The sequence below is a fragment of the Homo sapiens genome, chromosome 5, assembly GCF_000001405.40.
Source record: "Homo sapiens chromosome 5, GRCh38.p14 Primary Assembly".
Classification (NCBI taxonomy): domain Eukaryota; kingdom Metazoa; phylum Chordata; class Mammalia; order Primates; family Hominidae; genus Homo; species Homo sapiens.
This window is the reverse complement of record NC_000005.10, coordinates 59,831,951-59,848,098: the sequence shown is the minus strand read 5'-3', so window position 1 is coordinate 59,848,098 and position 16,148 is coordinate 59,831,951. Positions and strand designations below refer to the sequence as shown.

At 38.8% G+C, this 16,148-nt stretch overlaps 1 protein-coding gene and 1 long non-coding RNA gene across 18 annotated transcripts in view; both read left to right on the top strand.

Moving 5' to 3' along the window:
- The window catches only part of LOC107986350 (uncharacterized), a 42,415-nt gene extending 27,128 nt beyond the window's left edge, over positions 1-15,287 (top strand). Inside the window, exon 2 of the long non-coding RNA XR_001742414.2 lies at positions 900-15,287. This is a non-coding gene — a long non-coding RNA (uncharacterized LOC107986350). The remainder of the gene's footprint in view (positions 1-899) is intronic.
- PDE4D (phosphodiesterase 4D) overlaps positions 1-16,148 on the top strand; it is a 1,553,091-nt gene that overhangs the window by 674,030 nt on the left and 862,913 nt on the right. The gene's annotated exons all lie outside the window — the stretch shown is intronic.

The window sequence follows — 16,148 nt, the reverse complement described above, 5'->3', positions numbered from 1 at the left end:
TATCGTCAAAAACATGTTCACAGTTCAGCTAAGCCTTGCTTTCTTTTGAAGAATTGCTCTTTATAATGCTCACCAATGGATTTAGAAATATCCCATTGTAATCATGAAGATCTCAATTATATGTTATGAAATAAGAAACATAATGAAATACTTGAACCTTCCTGCCCCGCATAGCAGATATATTTTTGTATTTATGATATTCACAGTAAAAAAGCTGTGCTGAGAAGCTCAAAATAGTATTTGATCTTAGTGGTTTTGGAGCAGAGGAATTGGCATTGCCATGATTTTTCTATAACTTGGCGCAGGCCAATGGTTTCAGGCAGGACTTTCAGAGCAGACTTCTGTCAAATTTGCCATATGGAGTTACTGGGCTCAGATTATAGAGGTTTTCCTGGTTGTTTGCCTAATTTGGGAATTATCAGTGCTCTCCAGGATTTTCTCCAAAAACAAAGAACATGTTCAGAAGAAACTGACACTTCAGGAAGAAAAGTAGTTTGATATTTGAGAGGTTTAGATGGTTTCTAATATTTCTAAAAGGTACCATGACTCGTGAAGAATTTGACTGGTAAAAAAGAAAGGTTCCTGTTATCCCTGGAACACAGCTAACAGTCTGGCATGTAGCCTTACCTGAACTGGTACCCTCCCCGTACACCTCACACTTAGCATTCTGCACAGCCAAAGACCCTGTCAGTTATTGGCCAGCCTGAAGAATGAGGTTGAATTCAACTCAGGGACTGAAATCTACTTTATAGCATTTTAAAATATTGTAGATCCAACCTTGAGTTGACCTACTCCGCAGGTTCATGGGTGATTAGGTGTGAGATACAATGGGAATGAATATCTGAAAACCCTTTGCAGAAGAGAAGGAGGAGGAGGAAGAATAAATCCAATTTTTACAGGTTTCATATTCTGGACACTAGAAAACACTTCCTCCTCACAGCGCCGAGTTGTATGAAAAGGCAGCTCAATTGTCTTTCCTTGAGCAGCCTTGTGTGCCTGGGTATTCCCTTCCATCTCTCACCCATGGAGTTCATATTCCTGTTCTCATGTCACCACCTCTGTCAACGAAATAGGCTCTGCCATTTCTCAAATTTTATGGAGAATTATCCTGATGAGTTAAGGCAGAGGTTGAAAACTCGCAGCCCTTGCTCCAATTACAGATTTTATTTTTAAAACCCAGTGTTTTTTAAAAAATCGAGGGAGTTTACACAAAAATTCATGTTTTCTGTTTCTCTAGAAAACAGCAAATCTGGCAACACCCTGCTCACATTCCCACCTACCAAGAATGCTGCACATTAAATGGTGGCTTTTCTTTAGGTGACTCTAATTCACTGGGGTCTCCATGTGACGTTTCAGCCTTTGCACCCTACTTGTCCGCTGCAGGCCCAGGAGCTCTCTACTCCTCATATGCATTACAGGACCCCATGCACATTGAAGATGTTTTCTCAGGCAGAGCAGACACCAGGCAAATATCTTCTGGTCTTAGGAGCAAGTCTTCTGAGAATCAATGATGACAAATATCTTAAATGGTCTACTCGATGGTTCTGAAAATGTAAGAGCTAAACTACCTGTATCAAAATCATCTTGGGGGCTTATTTAAAACATATATGATAAGGCCCCACCTCAAACCTAAGGAGTCAGAATTTCTACGGAAAGGCTTGGGAATAGGAACATTAACACAAGCATCCCGGGTGGTTTTTATGAAACAAAGCTTGAGAATTATTGAATTCTTCTCCGATCTGACAGCTCTTCTCCTGGGCAGACCCAATTAGAGGGAACTGATGAGTTTTAGGAAATACTGTAATTCTAACTCATCAGTCCAGCAGTGCTGAAAATGCAGAATTTTGTCCTTATCAAAAGCCAATTAATGCTAACCTTTTCAGTGTGTGTCCAGTACCACCATCGGTAAGGTAAATAAACAGGCAGTTTTGCATATAATCTAGTGATTTTTAATTTAGTTTTTTCCCTTACTCATCCTAAAAAAAGCAGGGAGTCATTGGGCTTTTGTATCTATTTTAGCTGAGTTATTATTTTAACCCCTATCTTTAGTGCAGAATTAAAATATCACCCTTCTATTTGCTTTTATTCCTAATATCTGAATGGTTTCAGCTTGACGCAATTAGCATGTAGAGCATGCTCACCTACTGTAATCTCCCAGATGAGTCACTCAGCTCCAGCACATAACTGCTTCTGGGATCCTGTTGGCTAACCAGGCTTTGAAACCCAGGGAAAAGAACTGTGTGTTTTCTTCAGAAGTAATCCATAAATGAGAAATTACCATAAATAGGCAGTTTTATTCACTCTAAGTGATTTTTACATAAAAACTGACAAGGCCGTAAATTGTATATAGAATCAGGTTCCATATCCACACAGCTAATGCACACATGAATTATTCGATGAAATTTGCTTCAGTAGTATTATCTGAAATTGGTTTCAGACAATACATTAAATGTTACACATTATGGTAAATTTACTGTATTTTTGTTCCAGCCACGTCTTGTGTTGGCAAATCTGCTAAATTTAAGTTTGCATTGTATTCACATGTGTTGCTATTTCCTGAGATGTCCCAATATATTTTAGCCATCAAACAAATAGAACTTCACCTCTCTGAGGCTCAGTATCCACACTTGTTTATCATGCAAGAGACATGCAGGTGAGAAAATAGGCAACTGCCATTCTATCTGTGATTGCTGTTCATGGAAGAAGTAAAAATGAGCTGGGACAATATATAGGTGGCGCCAGGGATGGCTCCTTGAAGGAAGTGATCTCACAGCTCAGACCTGAAAGCTGAGTGGAAGTTACCAGAGGAAAAGAGAAAGGGAATGCATTGGTTTTCTATTGCTGGGTCAGAAACTACCACTAACTCAGTGGCTTAAAGCACCATTCATTATCTCATGTTTTCCCTGGGTCAGGAGTCAGGTGCGTATCAGAGTCTCAAGAGGCTGACATCAGGTGTTTGCAGATGGCATTCATGTCTGGGGCTCAGGGTCCTCTTTCAAGCTCCTTCAAGTTGTTGGCAGAATTTAGTTGCTGTGGTTTTAGGACCGAAGTTCCCACTTTCTTGCTGATCACCAGCCTGGGGCAGCTCTCAGCCCCTTGAGGCCACCTGCAGTTCCTCATCCTTTGGCAGATCCTCTCACAACGTGGCCACTTACTTCAAGACCAGCAAGAGAATGTTCCTCTTCAGGAAGGGCCCAACTCCTCCTTATGGATGTTCTTCTGATTCAGTCAGGCCCACCCAAAATAATTGCCATTTTTGGTTAACTCAAAAATCAACTGATTTGAGATCCTTAATTACATCAGCAAAATCCCTCCACCTTCTCCATACATAATAACCTAATCATGGGAGTGACTGTTCATCCTGTTCGTGATTAGGCTCACATATAAGAGAAGGAGATCATATAGGACATGCATGTAGAGGATAGAATCTTGGGGGCCATCTTAAAATTGTGCCTACCACAAGGAAGGATTTTCCAGGCAGGAAGAACCAGATATATGAAGGAGGCCTAAATGACAGGATAGCAATTTCCAGTGTCTGAGGCTAAGGCTGGAATGCTGACCTGGCCAGATCATGCACTGCTAGGTTTAATGGCCTATGCATACTCTATTATGCAATTATTAAAATACCTGTTTACAAAGAATATTTGAAATATTAAAAAATGGAAAACTGCATACCGTAAAATATTAAATGGGAAAATCAGGATATGTGTTTATATAACATAGTATCAGTTTTGGAAATATATATGCATATCTTAAAAGACTAGAAGTAAATACATCCATCTGTTAGCCATGGATATCTCTGGGTGAGAAAGTATGGATGAGTTAGAGATTCTTTGTCCCTTTTCTTAGTTCTAAAATTTGCCACAATAAATATGTATTCTCTTATAATAATAATTAATTAAAAAACTATTCATGGTACTTGCAAAAACAAATGAATTTGAGCAGTCTCTTTGAAGGAATCAAATTTTGTACTCCAGGTGTTTGAGAGGTTGAAAAACAAGCTCAGGAATTAGCTGCGCATGATCTGTACAAACAAGGGGATCAGTCAGTGGAAATGAAGTCCAGCTTCAGCCAAGGGTGGTGAGTATAACAGACCTACTCTGATATGTTTCATCACTAAACATTGAGCAAGAAATCTAGTGTTTAAATTATGGAGGCATTAAAGCAATTAACCTCCCTCTACCTCAATTTTCTTATATCTAAAAATTGAGGGGAGCAAAATTCCATTCTTGTCACAGGTCTCAATTGCAAGTAGCATGCAAGCAAGTAGGCTGAACTCTTGTCTGTCAATCTAGCTCCTTCCTGGATGGGGTATTTAATCAGCTCTCCTTCCCAAGCACCCAGTGGACTTGAAGCTCACAGTTAGACAGAGATGGCTAGAGGTGCCAAGTGCTGTTTATCATAGGTGACATCACCTGTGTGCTCAGAGTTATAAACATAGGCAGCTTGCCTACTGCCAAATCCATTACAACTTTCAGAGGTGTTCACTTAGGAAGAGGAGGAAAGAGTTTTTTGAGAACCAGATGGGAACTTAGAAATAAGTAACATTGACAACCAAATCCTTCAGACACATCTTCAAGTTTCAAGAGAGCAGTTAACAAAAAAGAAAAATGTATTTTTAGAAATTGTTTGGGAGGTGAAAGGATTTTTCTGGGGGGGAGTAGGGTAGGGAATGGATAGAGATGATTTTTTTTTGGCTCTGCAATATCTCAGAGATCTTTGAGTTGAAATATAACAAAATGTATTTCCTCTCTCTTGCTCCAAAAACTGAAAAGCAAGTGCACTAGAAAATGTCAGAGTTGGCCACTGAACAGACCATATTTCTAATTCATGGCAAGATGGCTAAAATAAAAATTCTTGAAATACGTATTTTAAAATTAGATTTTGACCTTTGATAGGGCTTATCATGCTATTTATATTGTAGCAGAAGGAACTGATTTTTTAGTAGTTGCCTCATCAAAGACATGACTCACATTTCCTTAAGCATTTACACCATATGTTTCCTGAGGTAAAAAAATAAATAAATAAATTTTATATTTTTTATACAATTAGTGAAATGTGAGCAAAAAATATAAGAAATCATTTAAAAAATATTTTGGGGAGGATGTGGTCTAGAAATGTTGTTTTCTAGAAATTGAAATTATGTTAGCTATTTGGCCAGTGTAGCCATTAGGTACATTTATGAATATAGATGAGAAGTAATCATTGTGATGCTAGTTTTATCATTAAGGAAAAAAGCAGAATTCAAAAGTTTAGCAATGAAACACAGGTACTACTGAAACTCACTTTATATTTGAAAATGTGAATGTGAGTTTAAAAAAGCTTTTGTTAGACTAACTGAAAAGAATCATTTTAACATTTAAAAAGAAAAATATTATTTTAAGTGACATTTGGTGACATTATTATATGTGTACAAGCTGTGACTATAAGATAATGAGACAAATTATTATGTGGCCAGTGGAAATTAAATTTATCTTTATGATTACTAGCAACAGGGACTATTTTATTCAACTATCTTTACATAATACAAAATTATTGTAAAATTTCTAGGAAATTCATATTCCACTTAAAATATGAGGAAGTACATTTGGAAAAAATATTAACATATGAAAATCAGCATCCCAGTTAAGGAATCCCCAGTTTCCCACTTGGTGCTCAAATCACTTCACGTTTTATTTCATTGGTACTTTTTCTAGGGCAGTAGATTTAGGAATAGAAAACAGACTCTACACATGGAATACACTAAAGTCTTGAGGAGGTGTGATATTTCCCTAAGTTTGGATAGGTGGTATCATCCTTTCAGTCACTCTTGACTCTGCATTAGACTCTCTACCTAATGATCCCCAAGTCATTTCACTTCTGCCTTCTTAACATTTTGAAGATGTCCTCTAAAATTTCAAGTCCCACCATCTCTGCCTCCGAACTCACCTCCCTGACTTTCAGTCTTGAAGCACCTTAACAACCCCTCCCCTCCTGTGCATGTTCCACCTGGAAACCAGGGTGATCACTCTGAAATGCCAATCTGATCAGTCATTTCCCTACTTTTGAACCTTCAATAACTTCCTAGCACCTATTCCTAGAAACCATTCCAACATATCACCTAGGCAAAGGAAACCCTTTTCTTACCTGGCTCCTACTTATCCCTCCAGATTCACCTTTTGACACCTCCCACTTCATCTCTCTGCAGCCCCCTTCCTGCACACACACGGAGTTTCAGTCTTGCCAAACTCTTCGCAGCTTCTTGAGTGGACCTTGCTCTCTGCACTACAATCTCTTTCTGCCTAGAGAGTCCTTTACCTCCCCCAATCTGGTTAACTTCTACTGTTTATTTAAGTCTTAACTCTAAGTAGATGTCATTTTTGAGGATGCTCTCTCTGTTCCCACTTTGGAACTTGGGCTTCTCTGTTGTCCTGGTGTCCCGTGTATTCCTCTGTCATAGCCCTCATCTCATTGAATTGTAATCATGTCTTCACTAGTGTTTCCTTTCTAGCATGATAGATTTTTGTATTGCCAGTGACCCCAACAAATTCCCCAGGTCCTAGCCCTGTGACTGGAACACAGTAGGCATTTAATAATAGTTGACAAATGAGTTAGTATATGTAATGAAAAATCTACCTGCCTGAGCATTAGGAAATATAAAATTAATCTAAACTTTGCCACTTTCTGTAATATCTGTGTGTCAGTCAGGAATGCTTTTGGCTGCAAGAAAACCCCACTGACAGTCTTTTAAAACAAATAAGGAAGTCTAAAAGGAGTCAGATGCTGGCCTTGGTTCAATACAATGTTAGAGGCAGCATCTCAGTGCTTCTCTAATGGTCACAAAATGACTACAGTAACTCCTTCCCTCACATCCACTTCCAGTTCAAGAAGCAGAATGAGAGACAGCAATAGCCACCCTGTTTCTTCATCAAGAAAGCAAAGATATCTTAGAAGTCCCCACTGTCCTTCATTTACTTCTCATGGGCTAGAATTATCTCAGTGGCCACCCCAAGTGCAAGAGAAACTAGGGAAATTAGTTTTTAGCATTCCCACACTCTATGTTGAAAATGAGTAAGAGACAATAATTTGGGGAATAGGTGTGGGATTAGTCAGCCAACAGTGTTTGCTACACCTTGGGACAAAACATTTTACCTCTCTTACTCTTTGATTCTTTCATTGAGTGAAGAATTAGAATAAGTAATCTTTCTTCAAGAATCAATTTTCTCTCATCTATAACTCCCATATATTCTTATTTCCAAAATGGAATTACCTTCTACACCAGACAGTTACTTCAAGCTTTTCCCCTGAATATTTCACATTTCCAGAAAGCACTATATTACAAAGAAGCCCTTCCTTTTCAAGAACTCTATTTGCCATAATGTTCTCCCTAACAAGGGCTGAACAGTACGTGCCCAGATTCCCTGCCTCTGACCTCACCACACCCTCTTCTGTGTGGCGGTCTCTCAAATTGTTTAGGACAATTATCATGACTTCTCTAAATCTCCCTTTTTCCAGGCTCAAATTCCCTATGCTTCAGTAGTTTTTCAGATAAGCCCCTTCTGTCCCTTCACAACCCTGGTCAGCCAACACCAGACATACTCTCTTCATTTACTTATGATTCATTGAACAGATAATCACTGAGTTCCTGCCATGTGTCAGCACTGCTCTAGGAGCTGGTGATATGGTGAGAAACAAGGAAGGGAAGGCCCCTCCTCTCATGAGGCTTACAGAGGAGCAAAGGAATCAGATGATAAGATAAGCGTTACACACACACACACACACAGAGGATCATTTCAGAGAGTGATTCGTGCCAAGATGAAAATGACAAAGGGAGATAGGAGAGTGACAAGGGATGTGTGTGTGTGTGTGTGTGTGTGTGTGTGTGGCAGTGCACGTGTGAAACTAGAAGACAAGCCTTCAGATGATCAGGGAGGTTTCTCTAAGACCTGAATGGGGATAATTAACTAGCATGGAAGAGGAAGAGGTTTTGAAGCAGGAGGACTTTGTAAGTGAAAGGCCCTGGGTAGAATGAGCTAGACCTGAGCCAGGAAAAAAAAGATGCTCAGAGGGGGAAAGTGTTGGAAGATGGCCTGATAATGCACATGGGGAGCCCCCCACCACAAGCTCATGTAGGACAGGACAAGAACTCAGATTGTATTCTAAATGACAGTATTTCAATACCCATCTTAAAATGTGTCTGGACAAAACTTAACACTTAGCTACACATATAGCCTGACTGGAGCAGTCCAGTTTATAACCTCTCCTTGTAGTGGGCACTGTATTTCTATGGATGCAAGCTACAGTTATATGACTTTTGTGGAAGCCATGCTATCCCCACAGTTCCACTGTGATTTCCTATATGCTCTTTGATGCACACTGCTCACATGCATGAATATTACTTGCACAAAGAGAGAGAGTAGGTGGATGTGATGCCAGGAGCTATTAGAATGATTCACATTACACTTCCACCATATGAAAAATAATGTACAGTCTAAAGCAACACTGCATCATATCATCGAGCAGCTTGGGAAAGCCTAAATTACATATTTGAAGTTCAGTCAGTCATTGAAATTAGATAATCTGGATGGTCCTGAAAGTGTCTTTCTTGAGAGCTTTCCTCCAAAAGCAAAATTGAATGGTAAGGAAAAAAATGAAGTACAACAAAAATGACAGCAAAAAACCTGAAAAACAAAAAACAAAAAACAAACAAACAAAAAACCCCAAAAACTGAGTAATATCAACCAGGCAGGAGTTGAAGGAGAGAAGCCCAACTGTTGGTAGATAACTTGGGATGAGCCAATTAAATATTGGTCTTCTCTCTCTCAGAGGCCCTAATTGCATTCCCTCCAGCAGCCACAGGCCTGGGGTTTTCCCCAGGCCTGTGGCATTCAGACATCAGAGCTGAGAACTCCAGTGACCACCAGGCTGCATTTTAATGCTAAGCTGGGAGCACTGATACTCTCCAAGACAGCCTTGCAAGCTCCATCTTCCACTGACTCAACGTTCAGTGGAACGTTCAGTGTGTTTCATCTGCTGTTCAGTCATGCAGGCAGCAGGGATCCTGAGGGCTCTCCTCCCCAATATGGTACCAAGTTTTGATTCATCCTTTTCCTCTTCCCTATCAGCAGGTATTCTAGAAGACAGTTTTATGATGACATTCACAGCTAGCATTAAAACCAGATAAAAATAAAACAGGATGTCAATAAAGAACTAATGATGTGTGTCTGTGTAAATGTATAATAATAATAAAAAGAATAGACATCTGTTTGTCAAGGTACCATTTAAGGCCTTGGGGCTTTAAATGAAACTGCTTTATAAATGCACCAACATATGTGACTGTTTGCCTACGTCTTTCATCCATGAAAATTGCCCTGTAGACAGTTGCCTTTGAGGTGAAAAGCATTCTATAGGCACTAAATATTATGCTAGAACACCTCTAAGTGCTAATCTAACTACCTTCATGACGGAAGTTTCAGGAGAACAATTTAAGGGTCATGGAAAAAAAGTGTTAAACGAGTTGGTAATCTGACATTTCCTAAAAACTAGATTCAAAACCGAAGGGAAAGTAGAGAGAGGAATCAAAACTAGCCTAGTAGGATGGAAGTAGGCCTCCCTCCTTGGAGGTGTGAAAATGCCTGGAATAATTTAGGCAAGAATGCCAACTGTCAGTGATGACCTTGGTTTAGGGGCAGTTATAGCATGGTGGAAACACCCCTGGACTGGAGATCCGGCATCCCTTATGGGGATATGAAAGAAATTTGGCAGGTCTCTTAACCTCTTTGACATTCCTTTCTTCTTTGTTAGGTAAGAAGCTGGTGCTGGTTCAGTGTAATTTGAACTGTGTTCTGCATGACTGTAGGGTTCTGCTTAGTGCCACGTGGAGGTGGGGATGCCTTGGGTGAAGATGAAGGAGGTGTAGTAAGCAGGTGGGGCTCTGCACTCTTTTTACTCTCCTTCTTCCAGTATCATCAGAACAACTCCACTTTTTTGTCTTTATACACTGAGTTATTTATAAAATCCTAGTTTTTTTAAGTGTCAAACAATGCTTGATTATGAAATGATAGCATTATTCTAGCATTCTAACTAAAGTGTGTAAATTATAAACAACTATCTTTAATGGTCAACAAATTGTCATCATTACTGAGCAGTGTTGTTAGTAACACCAAGTAATACAATTAATGAAATCCTTGAAAGTAGAACCTATCAGTGAGCCATGCATACAACTGATAAGCTGTGGATAATGTATAGAAGAATGAGTTCATTTGGTAATTATTTGTACTTTTCAAAATATTGGTGAACTTTCATCTTTAAGGAGCAATGGTGTCCTAGTTATTCTTGCCACAACTGCATGGAAACTCTCGAATCTGTTAGTATGTCCTTGGGCACAAAAACAGTATTTTTTGGAACTGCTCAAAAATTATGTAGTTTTGTAGACATTTAGGGAAAAATCTCATAATTTATGTTAAACACTCAGTTGTCTTGGTGTTGATTGAAAGCAAATAATACGTGCTTAACATCCTGCTAGTTGCTGAGGGAGATTCATTCATCATTTTAGAAAATGTTTCTGGGCATCAGTCATATAATAAACACTTTCCCAGCACTTGGCTTCACAAAGGAACAAAACAGACAATGCACATTCCTGCCCTAGTGGAGCATATATTCTAGATGACAGACTGAACACCTAGACATATATGACAAGCTCTTTCTTGCAAGGAGAGTCCAGTTAGGAAAATGTCAACACCTAAAACAGTTAAAGGCTAAGATAGCTTCTGTGGACACTAAGTGCTACATAGTAGTTCCAGAGGAGGCAGAGAGTTAGACCTGGCTAGACACTGGACAGGGGGTAGAATTAGACAGATAGTTCCTGGCTTGGTGCCTGGTACATAGTAGTTGCTCAATAAATATGTGTTGAATAAATGAAAAACCAGGACTGACTGAATAGACAGTTTACACATTTACATAATAAGTGTGTAATTTAGGGAAGTGGGGTTAGAATGAGCCTGGGTGAAGGAAGCCTTGAATGAGAGATGGAGAACTGTAAACGATAAAGGTTTTGAAGTTGGGGAAAGGTGAGGGGGAAGTGAAGTGTAACATGGAGAAGCAAAAGTGTGAATATTTTCCAAGATGCCTCGACGTTATGATAGATGAACCTCTGAGACAGAATGTAGGGGGAAGATAGAGGAAAGAGCCAAAGAGCCTCTGAGGGTGCAAAGAAGTAAAGAAAAACCAGGATGTATGATGAGAATTTTATTATGGAGCTATCCAGTGTGGATGTGACTTCTCTTCCCCATATCGACACAAAACACTTAGCAAAACATTTCTCTTTCTCTCTCTCATGCTCTCCTGTTCTTTCTCCCTCTATCTCTATCTCCTTTTGCTCTATCTCTAGATATCTATTAGACAGATGATAGATAGACAGATACATAGATAGATAGGTAGATAGATAGATAGGTAGATAGATGATAGATAGATAGATAGATAGATAGATAGATAGATAGATACATCTTGGAAGTGGTAAGACAGAAAAAGTAGTGAGTATAGCCTCAAAATGGCTGCAGGGCAAGGTAAGAAGCTGAGCTCAGCCTTCAATCCAATCCCTGTTTACACTCTGCCTATTTATTTGTTTATAATATACTCTGACTCCCCATCGACATATTTACATTCTTGGTAGAAGAGATTATTTTTGATATCTCTTTGTATTTATTTCTTAGCACCAAGATAATTTTAACCACTATTTTATTATTGTAAATTCTATTGTTTTTACTCCAAAGAAATACATATTTGTTGAAGAAAAATTAGAGATACAGATAAGTTAGGAAAATAATAATATCAGAAAACAGGGCCATCATTTAAAACATGGTTACATAAATAATAAAGTACTGTGCTAAGTATTGTAATGATGCTGATGCTTTTGTAATAATGATACTGATGGTGAAGATGGTGATGGTGATGATGATGACAATGATGAACACATACCTCCCACTGATTATGTGTAAGGCACTGTTCTAAACCTTTGTCTAAATTAATGCATGAAGTCTTCACAACAGCCTCAATAGATGTTATTCTTCCTCCCTCCTATTTATTTTATTTTAGCATATTTTATAGATGAGGTATCTGAAACAGAGATAAGCAACCTGGCCTGAGTCATACAACACAAAGTGATGGAGGTAGGAAATGACCCAGACGGTCAGGCTCCAGTTTTTTGGGCACTACCAAATTATATTAATAATACAACTCTGTAGCAGCCTGCTTTCGAGTTATGGAATAGTTTCTAGAATAAGTCACACACATAGATTTCGAGCCCAGGACCATCTACTCTGAGCAGAAGCTCCTACCTAACCTTGACTATAAACTGACTCTACCAGATAATCACACTTGGCCTTTCTGTAAGTGATAAGCAACTTGCCTCTGTGGGCACCTACCCTGAGAAAGGTAGTCACCCTGCTCCATGCTCTGTTTCAAGTACATTTATTATTATTTATGAATTACTTATTAACATAAATTTATTATTATTTACGTATTATCCAACTTATTAAGTGATGTATATGTATGCAGGTGTGTATGATTATGAAATACAAGATGAAAGAACTGTAAGAAAATAGCTTTGAAAAAATTAGTAATGACTGGGCCATAGCCCAGTGATAAGGCATGTTCACATATACCATTTCCTTTCATGATGGTAACAGCCCAGCAAGGTAACTGTCATCAGGGCTGTCATGTATTCTAGTACTGTTTGTGTACTGAATAAAGGCATTTGCCTGAGGGATGATAGGGCTCAAATCCAGGCTGCACTCCTCTTGATGATCTATGAACCCAAGAAGATGAGTCTACCTGGAGGGAAAGGCTTTTCCAATATGCACAAAGTTCCACAGAAGCTAGAGTTGTCTTGGGAATGATTATCTCCATTTTGTAAATAAGGAAATTAAAGATCAGAAAGATTGAGTAATTTCTCAAGAATATGTATCCAGCAAATAACAAATCAAGGACTCAAACCTAGGCCAATATGGCTCTCACTTCCTTTCTCCAAAATCACTGCTATGTCTTTCAACTAAATTGCATTGCTCTGTTCACTGGTACAAAGCTTGTTGCACCATTTAAAATTCAAGGACTATCTGATTGTGTATTATATTTTTAGATCCTTTCCTGAAAGCAGGTTTTAATGGGGAGGGAGAAAGTAGCAACTGGAAGAGAGTTTTGAGATGGTAGATGGTAAAATGTGCAAGCAAATTCCCAAAAAATCTGGGGACACAGACTTCACTGCCTTCAGAATAATTGAAAGGAGAACCCTTCAAGTATGAAGCTTCAGCTGAAATTTCAACGTGGTTTATTTACCTAATATGCTGTTCATTAATTACAAGCTATTAGTGACTATTAGCCTATGAAATTGTATTTACAGTTCAGAAATGTATTTGATTTTCACAAGCCTTACTGGGGAACAATGCTCAGTCAACACTTTCTTCGCCTAAAGAGTACGATCAAAGAGCATGAAGCGTAGTAAATGTTTAGCCTTTGAATTTGGAGTTTACAAAGGATAATTATCCACGGGTTGGTGAATTCATGTTCCTCTCTACTCCACACAGCCTCTGGTTTGCATTTACAGTTTTGCACAATCAGATGTAAAATTAAAATATAATCATTCCATTTTAAATGGTTCCCTGTACAATTATCTCATTTTAAATCTTTTGCTAATGTGGTTATTCTAATGCAACTATGATCATTATTTTATGTATGTAAAGATGTCAATACTGTCCAGCTGATGATATTATCTAATAGTATGTAGCAAAGCATGTTCCCTTCCTACAGTGCCTCACTCTTTCGATGGGTAAGATGGGAGGTGGGAGTGGGGGGAGCATGGCATTAGCTGTGGATAATAAAGCAAAGTAAGTACAATAGGTGTTCAATAAAGTCATCATTTTTGGTACTTACGATGTAGTTTTCTTGTTCCTTTGGTTCCTTTTGCAGTGGGTGTATTTGCTTAGACAGAGAGAAGTGGCAGAGGGAGACTGCATTTGTATTTGGTTATTTCAGAGAAATGCAACTTGGTATTATGAGCCTTTAATTCTGTAGGGCAGTCTCCAGATCATTTTGATGCTGAACTTTGTCATAAAAAACTATTGATTTTTTTCTTCCAATTATAAACATTTGCTGGTTTCTTGTCAGTTAATAACTGACATAACATTATTTCAGACCTTTCACTTAGGGCTCTGTTGTGTGTTTCTCTTGATCAAAATTATTGCCTTAGCATATCAACTGAATACACAAGAGAAAAATCAAGTTATCTATGTTTATCATATGCATTTTTGAATACCTATATGTGATGCTTGAGCATAGTGGTTTTTATAATCCTGTAAGCGATTTTTCAGGAGACCAGATCTGACCTCCTCTCTCACACCCCTTTCACACTGCCTGCAACACACCACACATACCACACACATCACCACCCTGACCGACCAATGGAATCTGAGCCAACTATAAATCTCAAACTTGTTGATATTGGATAATGCCTGGAGGAGAAACACGGCTACCGTTCAGTAATTCCAGAAAGAATTTCTTCTTTAAACTCAGTAAACCCAATGGCTTCTCAGAAAGTTCTTTCTGAGTTTTCTTATTTGAAATTTGAAAATTATTTGAAATTGACTTAACTGACATCACCTGTTCCCCTCTGGATCTCCCAGTGATTTACTGTTGACTCTTTCAAATCCACTCATCTCAGGGCTGGGGGACTGAGTCACAGTCTGCTTTTTCCTCCATTGTCATTTCCAAATTTTTCTTCCCTCTCCTTGCTGGGGGCTGGTGCTAAGTTGACCCCATTTTTCCCTCCTTGTGCTGTCACTCACTGCCTTTCCAGAATCTTCTGCATCAGGTCAGTCACTCTTTCCAACTTAATTCCATATGTCAACCCATTCATCACCGGAGCCACGTGGTTTCCTTCACACAAATTGTCTTCTCTGCACCACAGATGCCAGTACACTCTGGCCCTTGCCATCTGTCCTTAAGATGCAACACCGGTCTGCTTCCAAAATCCCTAGTTCAGACAGCCTGCCTTCCAGTTGCCACATCCTGTTTGTTTCCCAGTTTAACTATGTCACTGCCACTGCTGCTTCTACTTGTCAGACCTTCACTGACCTCTCCATTTCCCCCATCCCTCCATTTCATCCTTACGTTCCTTCCGGCCCCCATCTCTGCTTCAACGAATGAACCCGTTTTCATCTGTTTTTCCATGTTGGGATTCTAGTCAGATTTCCTTGAAATTAAAGCTTTTTCTAGTATAAACACTCAGCCTGTCTCTCTCACTTTAAAAGTGAAGACATAGACACACAGAGAAGTGAGATGATCTTTGTCCAATATTGATTAGTGGTGGAAGTCCCTTGATAGCCAATCCATATTTCTTTCACAGTAATAGAAAGTACCAAACTTTAAAAATGAGATTAGAAGTTGCCTTTACATAAATGTTTAGGCTTTTGAGATCTCAGGGCTATTTTGTAATACTCTAATTTTAGGAATCATTGTTACAATGTTTCAAATCTACTGACTTACACATATATATCCTACATATATTGTCTAAACATATTCTGTAGAAGCAATGGGGATTCATGATTATGAAAAAAGTGGCCATTGCTGGTTTAGGCAGTGTGTAAATGTTGCTACTGACATCCTAATGTGATTTTAATTCTTGCAGTCTGGTGTCATAAAATAGCTTTCAAAAAAGAGCATTTTGATCACGACTCATTTTCCAATTTCTCTCCTCCATGATCCCAACATCTTCCTAAGAAATCCACTCTGTACCTGAGTTTCCACATGGAACTTAGGACAATGATGTTAGTGAATTAGAGGTCTGGCAGAATCAAACGAAAGTAATCCTCACCAAGTCACTAAACCACACTACTTTGAGTCTATGCAAGTTCAGGAATTTCTATTTGAGCAAAAGCCACAAATGGCCAGAGCGGACCTCAGGCTTTGTGCTTGAACTGCCTAATGCCATTTGATTTTTCGATCCCGCACTTTTCCTTGCCAGACCAATGGTCTTTTCTAGCAGTAAAATTTCAGAATAGGTAGGCTACCATCACTCTTTGGGTTACCCCAGTGTTTACTTAAGTTGAAATTCAAATAGATATGTATTTCTATATGAATGGCTGCCATTCTGCTATGCCCATGTTTCTGTTTCTCAC